This window comes from Homo sapiens, chromosome 7 (assembly GCF_000001405.40).
Source record: "Homo sapiens chromosome 7, GRCh38.p14 Primary Assembly".
Lineage (NCBI taxonomy): Eukaryota > Metazoa > Chordata > Mammalia > Primates > Hominidae > Homo > Homo sapiens.
The window spans coordinates 137,933,506-137,952,927 of record NC_000007.14 but is presented as its reverse complement, the minus strand read 5'-3'; the positions used below and the strand labels follow the sequence as shown (position 1 = coordinate 137,952,927).

The window sequence follows — 19,422 nt, the reverse complement described above, 5'->3', positions numbered from 1 at the left end:
GAGAATCGCTGGAACCCGGGAGGCGGAGGTTGTAGTGAGCCAAGATCACGCCACTGCACTCCAGCCTAGTTGACAAGAGTGAGAGAGAGAGACCCCGTCTAAAAAAAACAAAAACAAAAACAATTATTCTTAAACTCCTCCTGGAGTAGGATAGATAGGTAAATAAGTGATTATATCTGGATTTGGGGTCAAAGGAGAAAGAGGAATCAGGAAAAACTTAAGAGTTAGTAAGTCAGCAAATACTTACTGAGCACTTCCTTCTAGGTGTGGTAGAGTTGGGGTGGGGTAGGTAGGGTGGCTGTCAAACACTGAGCAAGACAGACAGTCCCTGTATATTCTAGTGCAAAGGCGGGAAAGCAGGGGCCAGATCATAAAAACTGGAACAGATAAATCAGTAAGCTAATTTCACAGACTGGCAAATGCAGTGAAGATGACAAAATGGGACCTGTGGCTACCGTAGGGGTCATGGACACTGTTTCTCTAAGGTGACATTTGAGTTGAAAGGCTGAGAGCCTGAGGGCTGGGCGGGGATATCCTCTCAGCCATGGGGAAGTTGGGAAGGAGGCTGAGTATGTGGAAGAGATGGTTAATAGAAATCAAACACAAGGAGAACCTTCAAAGTCAGATGATAAATCAGGTCCATACTAGGAAGATCTTTTCCAAGTTTCCCAGAAAAGTAAATCAAACCTCACCAGGCCTCTAGATGGTTTTAATTACCTTTTTGTAGGGCTGCTGAACAGGGTATTAGTCATATACTTGACAATAAGGACTTGTGGATTTTTCTCAGAGATATTAATGGATGGGAGTAAATTTGCATTTGAAATTTTATTTTTAAATTACGAAAATAACATATTACCAAAGTTAGAGAAATAAGAAAAGAAAAACTCTTATGTTCCCACTATCCTACCAGCCCTATTGTCTATTTTGTATATTTCTTGAAGACTAGGTCTCACTCTGTCACCCAGGTTATAGTGCAGTGGCGTGATCCTGACTCACTAGAGCCTCCACCTCCTGGGCTTAAGCGATCCTCCCACCTCAGCCTCCTAAGTAGCTGGGACTGCAGCTGTGCACCACCACGCCCAGCTAATTAAAACATTTTTTTTGGTAGAGACAGAGTCTCCCTATGTTGCCCAGACTGGTCTCGTCTCGAACTCCTGGGTTCAAGCAGTCCTTCTGCCTCACCTCCCAGAGTGCAGGGGTTACAGGCATGAGCCACCATGTCTGGCCTGTTTTGTGTGTTTCTTACAGTCTTTTTCATGTATATGATTTTAGATAGTTAATACATTGCCCTTTGAATGCATGACAGACATTTCGCCAATAATTCCTTGAGCTTATATACCATACTTATACATTTCAATAAGTACAATCAATTCTTGTTATTTGCAGTGGTTATGGTCTCTTAAGTCACTGTGAACACTGAACTAGCAAATACTAACCCTTTGCTGCTAAGGGAAATAGAGGATTAGGTTCTTGCGGGTGTCTGATTACATTTTTATCACTAATCAGTATATAACCTTGTTTTATGTGTGCTTCTGTTTAAAGACACCATACTTAATGTATCAATATATTGTTGGTTTATTAACATTGAGCTACAGCCAAGAGTGCTATCACCCATACCTGAACAAAGCTTATCGAACACGTGGATTTTTTTCTGTGAGGCATATCACAGCCGTCTTGTACTTAGGACACTAGATAGCACTTCAGCACTGTGCTTGGGAGGTGTTTTAGACAGCAACGTCACCAACAAAAAGCACAAAGATATGAAAAACATGGCACTAAATAGACCATGAAAAGGAACCTGCGTAATAGCCTGAGAGCTACAGCAAGAAGGCAGAGTGTGCCCTTTTTCAGCCTTAGCTGGGCACGTGCATGTCAGTGACTCAAATTTTTTGCCACTCTATGCGGATTCTCAAATGACCATGAAAGTGCCACAAGTATTGATTTTTGAGGTTACAAATACATTTTATCAATTAGACACAATTCAGAAATATGGAATCTGTGAATAGTGAGGATCAGTGTATTATTCTTCAGACTGTACCATGGCTGTACCATGAAACTAGGGATCTTGAAACTAGGGAAAGCCTCCCCAGGCCTTTGAATTACTGGAGTGGAGAAATGAAAAGGTTCCCTTTCTCCTGTAATATTGCAATTAAATGAGAATATGTGAGTCCTTTATAAAGTGTGTTTTGAGATCTAGCTTACACCTTACAACGACACAGTTTCTGATATGTCCTTTTGTTTGTTTGTTTGTTTTACTCTGAAACTAAATCATAAATGGCTCACCTTCGGATGCATACACAGACACTGCTACTCTGGTGTTTGTGGAGCCTTCGTAATACCTCCTCACTCCCCACCCCAAACAAACCAAATCCTGAAAAAAAGCACTACTACGGAGTAGCTCAGAAGCATGGGGTAGAGGAGAAACAGCCCTTTGTGTCTCAGTAGGGAACAGTGGTGATAATATCACCTTACATTTATGAGAGGCGTTAGCATTTGTGAGCTTCTTTGATGTGGTCCAGTTTCCCCAGAAAAAGACAAGTGTGGACTGATGGTAATCATACCTGACCTTACCTGAAATGACTATCAGACGTTTTGCCCTCTGGAGAAATCCAGGGTGTGAGTCTTGATCCTTTCTTTGACCAGTGCCTGTTTGGTGAGAATAGCTATCCCATTGGAAAACACAGTACCCCTCATATGACCCACAAATCCATGACAAAACCACCCACATTTTCACCATCGAAGATCAAGAAGCATATGGTGTATTGGAAAGAGTGTGGCTTTTGCAGTCAGAGGAACTGATTTTGATTTCCTAGTTCTACCCCTTCCTCAGCTGTGCAACTTTGGGTAAGTTGTAAAGCCTCTCTGAGCTTGCATTTTCTCATTGGTCTAATGGGGATAATTATGACCCCACTCATATGTCTGTTGTGAAGATTAAATAAAATAATATACTTAGCCACTTCCCTTATTATACTTCTGACAGTACCTCCGTTGACAAGGAGCTTATCAATAGATCCTTAGAGAAAATCAGTGAGTCATCTTGACAGTGACCTTTGTTTCCCAGCAACTCGGCCTGGAGTTGATCACTCTCAATAACACCATTATCAAATAACCAGTGCGGATTGGGTTTTGCATCCATGAGTGTCTAAGCAAATGTCACTATTTAATTTTATTCTTCCAAAACATGTTATTTTTCCCTGGTGTGAGAAACACAAATGTTCCAAAGTAAACATTCATGAAATATCCCTTAGATTTTTTTTCTAATCTTGATTGGGGTGTTGACAAGCTTTACGTCTGTGTTAGCTGTTGAATAAAGTCATAGAAGAGACTTGGTGAATATAACATACCCAGGTCAAAGGGGTGTGGGAAGAGGCTAGTGCAACACTGGTGTCCATTTGATCCATGGGAAAAGCGAAATATAAGGAAGTAACTTGCACAGAAGGATCTTGAAACTAGGGAAATCCTCCCCAAGCCTTTGAATTACTGGAGAAACAAAACCTAGATTCCCTCTCTCCTGATAATTTTGCAATTAAAATGAGAATACGTGAGTCCTTTATAAAGTGTGTTTTGAGATCTGGCTTACACCTTACAACGACACAGTTTCTGACATGTTCTTTTTTAAACGTCTGTGGGAAGTTAGCAAGTGAATCCCAACTGCTGGATTGCCCATCACGGGTCCGTATCAGCCTCACTGTGGCAGAGATAATGGGGTCAGCAGTTTGAATGCCGAACTCCAGGTCCAAGTGGCTATTTCCGTTTGCACTTTGATAGCTGGCATTTGCCTAAGAGAAAATGATATTTCTTTGGGCTGACTTGGCCTTTGAGATTGCCATGAGACGAGTGATCTCTGTACCCTGATGTTAGGTGTAGACTTATTTCTCAACTAGGAAGAGGGACAACTTCATGTAAACATGTTTGGAACTTTGTTCCATTCTTGTGTGAATGTCCTTTATATTTCTGATGACTCCTATGGTGTAAGTTGGTAACAGACAGCCATCCTTAAGCCTGGGATAGTCACAAAACTGATGATCCTGCTGGTTTTCATCATCATCACTGAAACTCATTTGAATGGCCAGTTGTTCATTATGTTGTGCAGGTCACAGAACAAGGACAACAAAATGCATCTGATATACCTTCTTGGAGCTTGCAGTCTATAACAGATAACTGGATAGGAATGGTCAATTCGTTTTCATGAGGCTATTCTTCAGTTACGTGCTAATACTCATGCTGTGGATTCAGTAGGAAAATTGAAACTAGAGAAGTCTTATGGTGAGCCCAGCACGCTTTTGAATAGCCAAGATGATCCTCTTAAATGCTAATATTTACCTTGGCCAAGGTAAATCAATATCCTGTTTCCTTCTGTTAACTTGCAGTGGCTTTCTGCAAGTAAGTAAACAGTCTAATAGTGAGAAATTTAGTAGGGACATGGAACTGAGACACCAAAATTCCAATACATTTGTTTTATTCCAACTTTGTAGAGTTGGAGAGTTGGAGGAGATGGAGAAGCTATGGGTAAGTTTTGGTTCCTACCATAATGTCCCCCTGGCTACTAGCAAGATGAAGCTTAGGCACTAGTTGAGAAAAACAGTTTAATCGTGAATTGAGTTTCAGCATGATGTAATACCAGCTTCAGTAATGAACTAGTGAGCATGTTTTAGGTAGTCCTAGTAGGCTTTGAGCTGCAAGACAGCATCTATGCATCTCCAGAATTTAGCACAATTGACTGACACATTATGAATTTTGAATATATCTTAGCTGAATTGAAGCCAAGGTGGTAGACACAAGAGCAGAGAGGCCTGGAGACAGGGAATCATGGGAAAGCACTGTCTTGTGAGGTCCTCGATATTAGATCCAGGTGAGGAATTGTTGAGGTCAGGTATGGAAGTACCTTGTTCATCCAGGGAGCCAGAAACAGAGCAGGAGGACTTGGTGGGGTAGCTGCAGAGTGGCAGAGCCCGAGGCTCCAGGCTAGTGAGGGAGCCAACTCAAATGAAGGTCGGGCCGGAGGAGGCCTGGCACAGTTATAAACCTCCTGTAAAGACAGGGCAGGGGAAGGAAGTGGATGTGGAGGTGGATATTCTAGACGTGACACCAGCCAAGCCAGGCTGTGACTGGTCTTCAGTTAAGAAATGTGTCTTATATAAATGTGTCTACTTTGAGCATTTCAAAAATTCTTCTTCCTCCCTCCCCTCAGTTTTCCTGTAAAAGTTTCTTTAAAAAACTCAACTTGGTCTTGGCTAGACCATCAGGAATAAAGAGATTTATCTAAACTTAGGCCAGGGCAGAACAACTAACCTGTGATCTGGGAGCCCAGGTATGAAGTCACAGGCGCCATCTTAGTCTGACTTCCTTTTCTAAAGGAGTGAGCCAAGGGGGGCAAATGGCGGGATCAAGACACAGGTGTGGAGAGGCTCAGGGGAGCCCCGGAGGGCACAGGCCAGGACTACACCCCCAGTTTGAGGCTGACTGAAAGTGTCACAGGTTCTCCAGCTCTCCTGTTTCTCTTCAGGATTCATTTTTCCTCCTCAAGAATGTCTTCAGATAGTAGACCCAGAGAAGCGAGGGTGTAGGTGAGGGAGTGGACAGAGATGTAGCCAGTTAGTGGGTATATTAGTTTTCTCTTGCTACGGGTGTTGAGCGGGTGTGGCTGCCATAACAAAATACCACAGCTGGGTGCAGAAATGTATGTCTCGTGATTCTGGAGGTTGGGAAGTCTGAGATCAGGGTGCCAGCATGGTTGGTTTCTGGTGAGGGCTCTCTTCCTGGCTTGTAAACAGCCACCTTCTTGCTGTGTCCTTAGTGGGTAGAGTGGAGGGAAGAGAGAGAGCGAGAGAGAGAGAGAGCGCTAGGGCTTCAACATTTGGATTTCGGTGGGACTCAGTTCAGTCTATGGATTGAACTATATATATATATATAACTATATATATATAACTATATATATAACTATATATATATAACTATATATATAACTATATATATATAACTATATATATAACTATATATATAACTATATATATAACTATATATATAACTATATATATAACTATATAGATAACTATATATATAACTATATAGATAACTATATAGATAACTATATATAGATAACTATATAGATAACTATATATAACTATATATAACTATATAGATAACTATATAGATAACTAAACTATATAGATAACTATAAAAAACTATATATAAAACTATATATATATAACTATATATAAAAATGTATGGACAGCCTTATAGCTTATATATATAGCTTATATATATAGCACTACACCTAACAAATTACCATAAACATAGTGGCTTAAAACAACCACATTTATTATCTCACATTTTCCATGGGTCAGGAGTCTGGGCATGGCTTAGCTGGGTCCTGTCCTCAGTGGCTCACCAACCTGCAGTTAGGTGTCAGCTGGAGCTGCAGTCTCATTTGAGGCTCAAGGTCCTCTTTCAGGAGCATATGGTTGTAGACAGAATTCAGGGTTGTTTTTTTTTTTTTTTCTGCATTTGTACATCTTCTAGTGGTTTGCCTCTTCCAGGCCAGCAGGAGGAAAATTTTTCTCATTTCTAGACCTTCTTTTAAAGGGATCACCTTATTAGATCAGACCCGCTCAGGATAATCTCCGTTTTGATGAACTCAGAGTCAACTGAATTGAGACCTTCAAGACACCTGCAAAATTGCCTTCACCATTGTAACCCAGCACTCACAGGACTGCCATCTGTCATAATCACATGTTGCACAGGCCACACTCAAGGGAAGGGGGTTATACCGAGCATGTTACAGCAGGGAGCAGGAGTCTTGGGAGTCATCTTAGAATTTCAGCCTATTACAGTGGGCAGGAGGGAGTGTGTGGCCAGTGCCTGTTTATTCTTTGCATAAAAGCAGAGGGATTTAACAGACTATAATTTGGGGGAGGGTGCATTTGGAGAGCAGGATCAAAAATATTATTTTAAGTATTTGTGGCTGGTGGCTCAAGTCATGAGAGAACAGAAACGGCCACTAAATACAATCTAAAGATAAAAGCTTAATTGTAGCGGCTCAAGGTGGAAATTTGGATTTATGAAAGAAAAAGTGTTTCGATAGGGCAATTTGTTAGGAGTCATTTCAGAGCCCACCCTCATGAGGAGGCGGGTGAATAAAGAGGAGCTCCTTTCCAGCATTTGAGGTTCTAATACAAAACCTGCGTGTTCACCTGTAGGTAACCATACTTGTTGGTGAAAGGCCCAGTTCTTCTTAGTCCAGATTGCTGTCTACATGGAGGGCAAAATTAGAGAGCAGATTTCTGCCTATGTAACATTTAAAGTGTCAGAGGAAAAAGGATCTGTGATTTGGGGTATTATTGCCCTGCAGAAAAGTCTGTCTTTTAGGCCTGTGCCTACCAATGGGTTAGTTTGTTTATTTGTTAACATGCATAAAATATAGAATATCTATCTTTTGGGCAGAAAATATTGTCTCTAGTCAGTTGTCCTCCCTGGTTTTTGTTCCCTGAGGACTATTTAAACCAGGTCTCACGCAATTCAGTTAAACAGAGGCTGTTTTGAAAAAGCAAATGCTTTTTTCCTCCCATTGTAAATTAGAGGTCTTCATTGTTAGAAATATAGATAAGAAGAATTAAAAAACCGTATTAACACTACACAGGAGTGCATCAACATTTTGCTATAAGGCTGTCCATACATTTTTATATTCTAGCACTTATAGATAATTTCTACTTTCAATTAAAAGTTATAAATTTGGCTGGGCGTGGTGGCTCACGCCTGTAATCCCAGCACTTTGGGAAGCCAAGGCGGGCAGATTACCTGAGGTCAGAAGCTGGAGACCAGCCTGGCCAACATGGTGAAACCCCCAGTCTCTACTAAAAATACAAAAATTAGCTGGGCGTGGTGGCACATGCCCGTAAGCCCAGCTACTTGGGAGGCTGAGGCAGGAGAATCGCTTGAGCCCGAGAGACAGAGGTTGCAGTGAGTCGAGATCATGCCACTGCACTCCAGCCTGGTCTACAGAGCAAGACTCTGTCTCAAAAAAAATAAAAAATAAAAAATAAAATAAAAGTTATAAATTCTAAAACTATAAATTTGATTATTCATTTATGAAATAGATAAAAAGACATTGATATATAAAGTATGTAACAACATATATAAATATATAAAGACAATTATAAATTAGGGAATTCAGTTTTCACAATATATTTTTCATTTAGATATATGACGTGGACATTTCTGTATATTAACAGATAGTTTTCTACAGTAGCAGTTTGTTTTCATAGCCACTTAGATATACCTTAATTTATTTAAATACTCATATGTGGGCTATTTTAAATTTCACAGATTGATGGATCACAATTCAGGGATATCTACCTTTGATCAGTAAGCTGTTCTTTCTGATTGTGATCTTGTTGCCTTCACTCAAATGGTCTAATGTTCATTGATTCAGTGCTTGCTGCTTGCAAAGGCAAAACTTGTGCTTTAGGTTTACTTTTTCCGTGGTCGGTTCCCAAGGCTACATGCAGAGTTTTTAAATACCTCTTTTGTGAGCCAGAAGACCTAATAAACAAACCACTTTGTTGAGACTGGGAATATTAGCATTGGCACAATTTCTTAATTTTACTGTGCGTTTGCAGACATCATGAGGCAGAGAGGTGGTCCAGCTGCACCTTCGTTCCACACACGGACTCTGTGTACAGCTTTGTGAATTGCTATTTTTCTTTCCCTTTCCCTTCTAAATGGGCTCCCGGTGGCAAAAATCTGTTTAAACAAAGGTAAGCAAAAGATCAGTTTAAAGCCCAAACTTCAAAAGTTAAGAGGTTTAACCTATTAGACACCCAGACTTTGCAAATGTGAAGAGTATTCAGATCAATGGGGAAAGGGGCATTTGGATATTGGTGGGTCTTTAGACAGTGAAGAGAATACAATTTCATGCCAGAGACAGTCACGAAGAGAAGTTTTTGACACAGTGCTGCATTTTGCATGAATGCTGAAAACAGACCCATGGAAAGAACCTAAATCAACGTTATGGATCCCTCTTAGTTGAATCTACATTTTGAAAGCTCCTTTTTTGGCTTTTGGAAATACATGGCGGCATTTTTGGTTGTTGTCATAATGGGAAAGGGGGATGTTACCAGCACTGAGTGCCCAGGGGCCCTGGAATGTACAGGAAAATCCTCATTAATGAAGAATCATCTCATCGACAATATCAACATGGCCTGGTTGAACATCTCTAACCACTTCAGAAATTGTTAGTTTCTTATGAGGAATAGGGCAGAAAACATGAAACTATGGCCCTGAATTTTTTTCTAGGCTTCCTAGAAATGGTCTAGTGCCATTTCCCTCCCCCATTTCTCATGGAGGTTCTGCATAACTGAGGCTAGAAGATACTGGTAGATGAAAGGAGGTTTGGTTGAGGAGAAAGTAGTACAGTAGTTTTAAGTCTGATACTGCTCTCCATCTATGCTTGGCCTCCACAAGTTGAGTCATTTTTTCTGATAAAGCCTGTCTGGTTGTTTGTCTCAGAGACCAGCTGTTGAAAGGGCAGAGATCACCCAGTACTGCCCAGCTGTTAGCTCAGCCATCCTCAAGGGAAGCCATTCTTTGCCAATAGAATCTCAGAAAAGGCCAGAGAAGGGGAGTTGCAGGGAACATTGACTCAGGCTTAAGATTTATTTTCAGGCTGTTTTACTCTTTTAGGTGTGAGTGGAAGCAGAAGCTACCTACGTCATAGTTGGTCTCAGAATACCAGAGCCGCAGGGGGCCTGGGAGACTGCCTGGTCCCACCTCTTATTTTATTTCCTAACAAAAGAGACCCAGAGGGGTTCAGTGACTTGTCCAAGGTCACAGAACCAAGTAGTGACAGGGCTAGGTCTAAAACCCAAGCGTTTTGGTTCCAAACAAGGCATTCTTTCTGCTATGCCAGCAACTACCCCTTTGACTTCTTACTTCTTAATGAAGCTGTGCTGACTTTCTTTCTAGAATATCTCCCCCACCCCCGAGGCATTGCATCATTATTGCATTCAAACCTTGTGTACTTTCTGATGCCATTGGCTTTATAGGTAACAGAAAATAATCTTTTGTGACTAGAAGGCAAATGTGTCCTATTCATGATCCAATAAGCAGCTATCCACCATTGTTCAATCATGAACAAACATTCAGAAGCATTGCTCTACCTCGTCTTTTGGGAGAAAAATACTCAAACTGTTTGGGAATAACTTTTAACATATGGTGATTGCATGTGTTTTCCAGCAGGACTGCAGAATATCTCTGTTTGCTTGTTCTTATAATAACCTGCTGAGATCACTAGATTCTATTTATGGTCTTTCTTAGAAAGAGAATATTATGGCCTCGTGTTTTATTTTGTTTTGTTTTGTTTTTCCTTCTTAGAAATTCTTCAACTCTACCAAGTTGAAGAATTGAAGCTCCATTGTTTTCAATAAAGAATCTGAAGCTAAGGTACACTGAACCACTACCACTATCCCAAAAGAAGCAGAGTTTGATGTTTCCCTATTCATTTAGAATGGTTCCTTTCTGTTCCAAAAGGGATGACAGGACTGTGGCTCAATGACAGGGGAGATCCGCCTGAGGGCAGAAGGATTTAGAGGGATACTTTAAGGAGAACCTGGACCCCACTTCCAGAGAAAGATTTGAGAACCTGAAAATATTCGTCTGGTTTTCAGCAGTGCCACCAAAGTAGGAACTTGATAGTGCAGTTCAGCTTTAAACAGTTCCTTCATAAAAGTTTGAATGAGAAGTTTGCCTAAAAATTATAATTGCTGGTTAAGATGAAAGGACACTAAAGAAGCTTATGGATGTGAGCACAGTGTGGCTGGTGAACTGTGGAGAAATTGCAGGGAATGAGAGAGATGGTTTGAGACTGGAGATATGGGCCTAGTTTTCAAAAAGGGGAAAGGAAGATCAATCAATCAATTATGAATTGATGAACTGAAAATGAGCCCCCTGGTAAGCAAATGGGAAAACTAGAATCGACCGAGTTCACTAAAGAAAAATGATGTTTTATGACCTTCATCATTTTTTATGGTATTAAGAGACTGATAAGTCAGAGAAATACTTAATAATTTTGTCCCAGTTTTAGCGAGGCATGTAATACAAACAACAATAAAACAGCTAACATTTATTAAGCTCTTATTATGCCAAAGTAATTCTTCTAAATGAATAGAGAAACATCAAACTCTGCTTCTTTAGGGTAGTGGTGTAGTGTACCTTAACTTCAGGTTCTTCATTTAAAATACTGGAGCTTGCCTTTCTGATCTCTCTTGTTTCTAGAAATGTGATTGGAATGAATAACCTGGCTGGGGCTAGCAATGTGGGATAACAGAAAGCCAACCGGGGCCCTTTACTCCCCACTGCTCCAAGATAGTCTGTCCTGAGCAGGCCTCAAAGCTCTTGGATTCTGGTAGCACTTAGAGATAGAAGAGGGTTCATTGCCTCAGCTGGTTGAGGTTTATGAGAGGAAGGAACATGCAGGAGCGGACAGCCAATGGCTACTGCGCTCCCAATAACTGCGGTTGCTAACTGGCTGGCCACGATGGAGATAAGAACTCTGTGGATGTCTGGGAAGTCACTTCCGTGTTCATAGCCTGCACATGGTTTTCTTAGCCAGTTTTCATTTACCATAGCACCATCTTGTATCTGGATTAGACTTGTATCGATGAATTCATTTTTATCTTCACTACAGTTTTGAAAGGCAGATTGGATTTCTCATTTTCTAGTGGTGTGGAGAGAACAAGTGATTTGACCCAAGGTTGCTGCTAGGATCTACAGAGCTGATGTAGACTATATGCCTTCTGTCCCATGAGTCCGGTGCATAACACAAGGGTTTCAAAGGCTAAGATCCCCTGGTATGTCTCAACACATGTCATTCCAGAGAGGTGGGGCATACATGTGAGGTCTCACAGAGCAGGAGCCAAAGTGGCTAGAAGCCAGAACCTTCCTGGTCTCCCATTTGCTGACCTGCGGGATTCCCTTAGCTCTTATCTTGGGGTGGAGGGGTACCTCCTGGCAGAGTCATGCCTGAGCATTTAAACAACACAAACAGTACTTTGTACCTCTCAAGCACTTTCCCTTTTCCCCAGTGTGGCCCTCTAGGGATGAGATTATCTCAGTAATGCTTAAGACATATTTGGCTCATAAATAAAGCATAGGTTTCTAGGAAGCATGCATGCCGTTCATTTTTTCCCACAAACTTCATCGCCCGTTAGTGTTTCATACCTGATGTTTTTGGCATTAGATCTTGACTTGGAGGCAGAATTGTTCCATTGCAACATGCACGTTCTGTTCAGAGAATTCTGTGGGGGTCGTCTGTGGAACACTTTTCAGTCACCCATTTGGTGATCTTTATGTCTGGTCACCGTTTCTCTTGTTAGAGAGTCTGTAGTGTAGATTTCAGTTCTCAACTCTTTGATTTCATGTGCCATTTTGGACCTCAGTTTTCTCAAATTAGAGTGACCAGGTCAGGCCAGATGATATCCAGTGTTTCCTCAAGCTTCACTAGTCTGTGATTTGGAGCCTGCTGTAATCCAAAATTTTTCTGGAATGAATGGCAGAGTACCAGATTGTATTCTTTTAGGGTAGGATGCAAGAGTGTAGGAATAGTAAATACCTTAGCTTGTGCCTTCACTGAAAGATATGAGGGAATGTCCTGGGTGTCCCCTGGTGAGGTAAAGACTGAAATGGAGATGGAGAGTGTATACTGTGGGAGAGGGAATGGGGATGCCTTCTGTTTAAGAGAGTGGAAGATACCAGAGAGGAGAAGCTTATGACTGCAGAGAGGGCAAGAGACCTCATTACAGCAGTCTGACCAAAAAACCCTCCAAATTTCCTTATATAATGAGCATGTAAAAGGGTTGAAAACTGCAAATTGAAGGATAAGGGACAGAAGGAGGGATATCAACAACACCAATTAGGAAGAGTATCTAGAGAATTTAACTGGGTAGTAAGAAATTTAAATCTACTTTAACTCTCACTGTGGGGAATTTGGACATAGGCTGAGTTATGTAGGAGGCTCTTAAGTGTGGGAGGGTTAAAAGCAAACATTTTTTGGCCTTGGCTTGTGGGATAGATCAGGCAAAAAGCCCCGCTGGGCCTCCAGCACTCCCATCCAAGATTGCGGGGGTAGAGTCTAGACTCGGGGATAGAAGTGGAGAAAAGGGAGAGGGAAGAATTGGTGGTCCTGATGGCAGCTGCTTTCAGCATCCCAGTCTCTGTGGCTTCCCCACTATGGATGACAAGAACAGAATCACAGGTTCTGTACTGCCTCAGCCTTGAACGGTTGACTTGATCATGGCTTTGATGGTCTTTCACTTGTTGGTGAGATTCAGCTGTCTGTTGTGGCAGAAGGAAGGGGCAAGAGGACTCGGGGATGGTTTGAGTTTCTTGAAGCATATCAGAGGACTTCTCTACCTGATACGGGTATTTCTGGAACAGCTCTGTCTGCTCTAAAAGGATCCTGAGGATTTCCTTCATTGACATGAGGAGATTGCCCTTCTCTCAGGCCCAAGTTACAATTCAAAAAGCATTTTTGGGGAACAATTAGAAATCTGAGCTCCAAGTCCTCTGTGTTAGTGATTGAGAGGCAGCAGGGACTATGCCGAACGTGCCTGGGAAGGGGTCCTGCCCTACTCCAGGCTGCCCCACTGTCTCTACCCTCGGGATAATTCTCCGTCTTGTGAGGATCAGATACAGTCATGGTGTGCAAGTGTTTTGTCATATGTAAATACTATGCATTGAATATGGAAGGTGCTATTATTATTAAATTTTCTTCGCATTATTTTTATTCCTGTTGGTACTTGTTGGATACTCTTGGGCCATGGAAGGACAGGCCCTACTAGGCTAGAGGCTAATTTGGGTTCAGAAAGAATGAAGAAGTGCATTTTGGGGGTATTTGCAGCTATATGTGTAAATAAGCCAAGAAGTAGGCAGATTGAATTTTTATGTGCTAGCTAATTCTGAATCTTGCAGCTCTCCTTTGTTATCAGGAGCCACTTGTGGGGTGTTTCTCCCTTCATCTCATTAACTGATTTATTTGTATTGTGGGCAGATGCTCTTAAAATGAAACAGTGGATTTTTTTTCCACATCAAATTCTAATAACTGCTATAGGCCATTCAGGATTGGCATGCATTTGGGAAAGTGGATCATTACTTGTTTTAATGATGAAAAATTATGTAGTTTAAAAGGAATTAGTATGGTGCATGACCCTTGAAGCAAATATCATATGTAAAAATTCATTTTTACTTAATATATACATTAGGAATTAGTTTTTAAAAATAAACCATTTCTGGCCAGGGGCAGTGGCTCACACCTGTAATCCCAGCACTTTGGGAAGCCGAGGCGGGTGGATCACAAGATCAGGAGTTCGAGACCAGCCTGACCAACATGGTGAAACCCCGTCTCTACTAAAAATACAAAAATTAGCTGGGCGTGGTGGCGGGAACCTGTAATCCCAGCTACTCAGGAGACTGAGGCAAGAGAATCGCTTGAACCCAGGAGGTGGAGGTTGCAGTGAGCCGAGATCGCACCACTGTACCCCAGCCTGGGCGACAGAGTGAGACTCTGTCTCAAAAAACAAACAAACAAACAAAAAACCCATTTCTGAAAGCAGTTTGAGGTTCAGAGCAAAATCGAACAGAAGGTAGAAAGATTTCCCATATGTCCTCTGCCCCACACATTCATAGCCTCCGCCACTGTCAACATCTACCATCATATTGGTAGACATGATGGTAGATACATTGACACATTGTTATCACTCAAAGTCCATAGTTCACATTAGGGTTCACTCTTGTGTCGTACATTCTATAGATTTGGACAAATGTATAAAGACGTGTCTCCACCATTATAGTATCCGTGTCAGAGTTCCACTGCCCTAAAAATCATCTGTGGTCCACCTATTTATTCCTCCTTCTCCCAGGGTGACTCCTTTTACAAAATATTGAATATACCCTACCAATGGATTTATAATAGGTTTCCTTTAAATATCATCTCTCAATGCCTTTATTGCTTAATCTATTTCACATACTTCATTTACAAAAAAAAAAGGTTCATCTGGATACTACCAAGCAAGGTGTACATATATTTATTTATTTAATTTTTTTTTTTTTTTGGTAATAAGCCTCTTTAAAACACAGCTTTTGTTACTGCTAGTGAAATTTCAGTAAAGCAAATATCACTTCAGAACAAAACACCCTCCCCAAAATAACCCCCACCACAAATCTCCAAAACTCTGGTGTAATAAAGAGTTCGAAGCTCAGCCCCCATTTTTTAAAAATTAAAGAAATATGTAATGGGCCTACATTTTTGTACTAGAAAAGAATTGGGTATCCTTGAAATTTCACTGTAATGGAGTTTGACTTGTGAGCCATTTTTTTTTCTTGGGACTTTGACAAGGTCACCTTTTTCCTCATGGTTGGCATCTGGCCCTTTTCTGTGTGTTGTGTGCAGGGTACTTGTGTGAGAGCCACTCAGGTCTAAGGTGCACTGGTTTTGAAGGCAGGTCCCTTCTCTCCCTGCAAGGGGAGGAGGGAGGGTGGCCTAGGGGATGCCAGGAGCCCAGGGCAGCTCCTCCCTGCCTGAGCAATACAGTCAAACTATGTTTTGCTGGAAGGAGGCCTTGGTTTCTAATGTGAATTTGAGCTGTGTCCTCTGAATCATTTATGGAGAGGATCAGCTTGCTCTTGCCACACTCCCTTCTTCTATGGCTCCAGTCTTTGGGAGGCATTCTGTGCTCTAGGTAAGGCTCCTAGCCACGATTTTTAAGTACAGAGGCTTCTTCTCCTGCCTGCCGGAGAACTATCTTTTCAGCCAGAGACTGGCTGCAAAGCTTCCCTGTTTCCCAGAGGGCAGGGCTGGGAATTGAATGCTTGGGGAGCTCAGAAGGAGCCCCGGCAGGCCTTGGGCCTCTTGTTGCCAGCCCAGGTTCTGCTTTCTGAATCCTATTACCTGCCGTGGCCACCTGCTTCACTGCCCATGGGCTGGCATTACAGGGGCAAATCTAAACAAACCCGGGAGGCAGAAAGAGGGTGTTCTCTGTCCTCCTTTTCCCAAGTTGAAAAACCTTCGTAGCTCCATTTTATGTTGCCTGCAACATTTTAGAAAATGATAGGGTAGTAGAGCTGAATAGGTTGTTAGCAATGACTTATAAATATCCCTGTGTTATTACTACTTTCTCTGCTGGCAGGGTTTAGCCCGGGATCCATGGAATCCCCCTGCCGTCTGCAGACAGACTTCAGGGGCGGGTCAGCCTCCTGAAATGCTGGGCTGTGTTTGTGTGTTTGTGGCTGTGAGCATTTCTCAGGCAGGACTGTCATTAGATTCCCAAAAGGAGCATTAGGTTGTCAGGCAGGAGCATTCATTAGATTCCCAAAAGGGTCTAAGAATTTAAAAAAGGTGAAAAAAGGTGACAAACTACTGATCAGGTTTAAAGCCTACCCTCATCCCCAGTACACATAGCACTCACACACTCACATGCACACACGCACACACACAGAGGTTTACAGGTAAGGAAACTGAGTCTAGAAGAGGCAGACTGACCACCACTGAAGTGCAAGGCTGGGACTAGAGAACTCCTGTCCCTAACTGGTCTGGTGCAGCACTCTTCTGTTAGCCTGTGCACAAAAGAGGCCTGTTGGGCTGACTATGGGATGGCACAACTGCTTTAGAACACGCTCTGCAAGTTCTCTGGATGATGGGGCACAGGACATACATTCTGGCTAACTCATTTTGCACCTTGGGATAACTCTGTCTTTATAAGACTGACCTTTATTCATCTTTCTGCCCATGCTCCCACTGTATTTGTTGAGTGGGCGAACCTTAGTGGAGAGTACTGTACGGAAGACAGGTCGGTAGCTTTATGCAGCCAGTTATTTGAACTAAAGAATTATGAATCCTTCCTTTTCCTCCCACTTTGTTCCCCTTTCCTCACCCTCGTGACCTCTGATCTTAGGGCAGTTGTTAGCAGCAGGAAGTGGCCCAGATCATAAACCACTCCTTCCTTGCAAGCTACTTTGGCAGTTCATTAGTGACCTGAAAACTCAAAGCGTAAATGCTTCAGAGCCGAGGTAATTTTTTATAAAATAAGTAATTCTTATAAGGATAAAAATTTCTCCTAATTTATCTGATTTGTAAATTTGGATATACATTTTAAATGTTTGAAGGCACTTATTTATAACTGTTGGGAGATCTAGCCCTAATTTGGATTTATCTTCTATTTCGTTAGGATGTTATAGAATGATAATAGATGCAAATGAGATAGTTGTTGAATGCAGCAACTATCTACGATCTATGATCTCTGATCTGGGCTAGGTCCAGAGAGAGGGGTGGGTAAACGGTTTACATCTGGGCCATAGAGTTTGGAAGGCCTAGTGATAAGATATTTAAGTAACTTGGCAATGAAAGGAACATCAAAGAAAAGGAAAAATGTGTCAAATTAAGAGATACTTAAAGGGCTTTACTTGTTTAGGGAAATGAGAGATCAATTCAAGGTGTATCTGTCTAGGGATGACTTTCTAAAAGAAGTACATTTGTTCTGTCTTAGGTAGTTTCCTGTTTGGTAAAGATGAAAATGAAAGCATATTCTAGGAAGAACAATGCGAGAAGCTGGTGTGCAAGTAGAAAATGCCAACATTTTATTGTTTTAATTATGTTAGTTTTTTAAAAGAGCTTTTTAAAAGATTGCTATGCAGTGAAGTGTTAGGTGTATTACGTGCATTATTTAGTTTAATTCTCATGACACAAGGCCGGAACTATTGTTAACTTCACTTTGCCGGCATTATTGTTAACCTCATAAACCAAGGTTTGGAGTATGGACATATCTTCCTCAGGCTTGCACAGCCAGGATTCAAATTTAGGGCTGACTGACTCCAAAGCTACATTGCCACAATGCCATACTGTGACCATTAGGATTGCAATGAAGGTGTTGTGTTTATAAGAATAAAGGGAGACAAAACTTTATGGGATAGTTGCAGGATGTTTAATTCAGAATCTTAAGATAATGGGGAGATAAAACTTGACACAAATTTTTAAGGGAAGTTGCCATGTGTATTCTCTGAACTGGGTGAAGAACATTTATGTTGTGAGGCAGGGGTTCAATCCTATTAGGAGGTTTCTTCCAACTGAGAGATTCTGTGATGTTGCTTGAATCCTTTGGCAGAAACATGCATTAAGGCCGAATAAGTATCTCCATCCTTATTGCTGATGTATCACAGCAAGTGATACCAGGAGCCTCTCCTTCTAACAAACTCTTGGCATGTTTCTACAGGTTTAGTGCAGGAGACCATGTGTTCATAGCGGATGACCGTCTGTGAGCCTATCTTTATCTAGCTTTAGAGGCTGACACAAATGAGGGAGCATGCTGTAGAAAGTGCCTGTGATTTGGAACTGGCTGAACATGGGCTAGAATATCAGTTTCACCTTTCATCAGCTGTGCATCTCAGGGCAAAATAGCTAATTATCCTGAGCCCCAGTTTTCTGATCTGTAAATGGGGACATGTTTTCATTTTCTGAAAATCGAGTATGTCAAGTACTTAGTCCATCACACAAGTCTAGCACCTAATCCTGACAACATCATTATCCATGATCATCACCATCATGGTTTTACACTTGTTAGAACCTCTCCATACAGTTGTATTGTGAGGCTTAAATATCTCTTTCCTAGGAGAAACAATAAGGAAAAAAAATTCAGTCAATTTGACATGAGTACCCTAGCTCAAGGTCTCTCAGTAGGGGACAGAGATCTTGGACAATGGACTAAAAGCCAATTTACAGGATTGTCGTGAGTATTGAGTGAGAAAAAGGTTATGAAATTATTTTGTAAACTCATAAAGTTTGATTCAAATATTAGAATGCTAAAATGTTATTATGCCATTGCCTTTGAAGGAATTAAACTAAAATCCCATAACCCTTGGGTTCACATGAGCAGTACTTCGCTAAAGCGTTTGCAGTATCCAGAAAGGCTTCCTCCTCGAGGCTCACTTTGCTCCTTTCTCTGGTTTTTGGCCTTCAGGACCATAAGGCCCCTTTCCAACTGGCTGGCATTAAAGATGGGCCCACTCTGGCCCGATCCTGGCACCAGCAATGGGATGTTGACCTGTCTGCTGAGTCTTGGAGCCCACCACTGCCAAGGACACCCAGCTGGAGCTAATTTGCTGGGCTGAGTCATAGCATCTGGTTGGAACCGGTTTCTTTTCCATCACAAGGATCTCCCTGAACCTACTGAGAGCTCACCACCTTGCTAAATTCTTGGGTGTGGGTGGGTGTTTAGGCACAGTTAGACTTCTGAGGAGGATCCTTTTCCAGAGGGGAGGTTATGATAATAAACTTGATAACAACTGTGAATGCTTCAAAACTGTCTATCGTTAGTGCTGAATGGTTTGTAACATGAGAATTACTGCATAATCCAAAGTAGGGGGAGTTCAGGGAAAGTT

At 41.7% G+C, this 19,422-nt stretch overlaps 1 protein-coding gene across 2 annotated transcripts in view, besides 1 other annotated feature; it reads left to right on the top strand.

The window, feature by feature from the left end:
- CREB3L2 (cAMP responsive element binding protein 3 like 2) overlaps window positions 1-19,422 on the top strand; it is a 127,108-nt gene that overhangs the window by 49,159 nt on the left and 58,527 nt on the right. The window lies entirely within an intron of this gene.
- Window positions 4,231-4,525: a silencer, noted in NCBI's record as "tiled region #2088; HepG2 Repressive DNase matched - State 2:TssF". NCBI's record gives its function as "represses a minimal TATA promoter and a strong SV40 promoter by Sharpr-MPRA in HepG2 cells {active_cell/tissue: HepG2}" and the evidence as "EXISTENCE:reporter gene assay evidence [ECO:0000049][PMID:27701403]".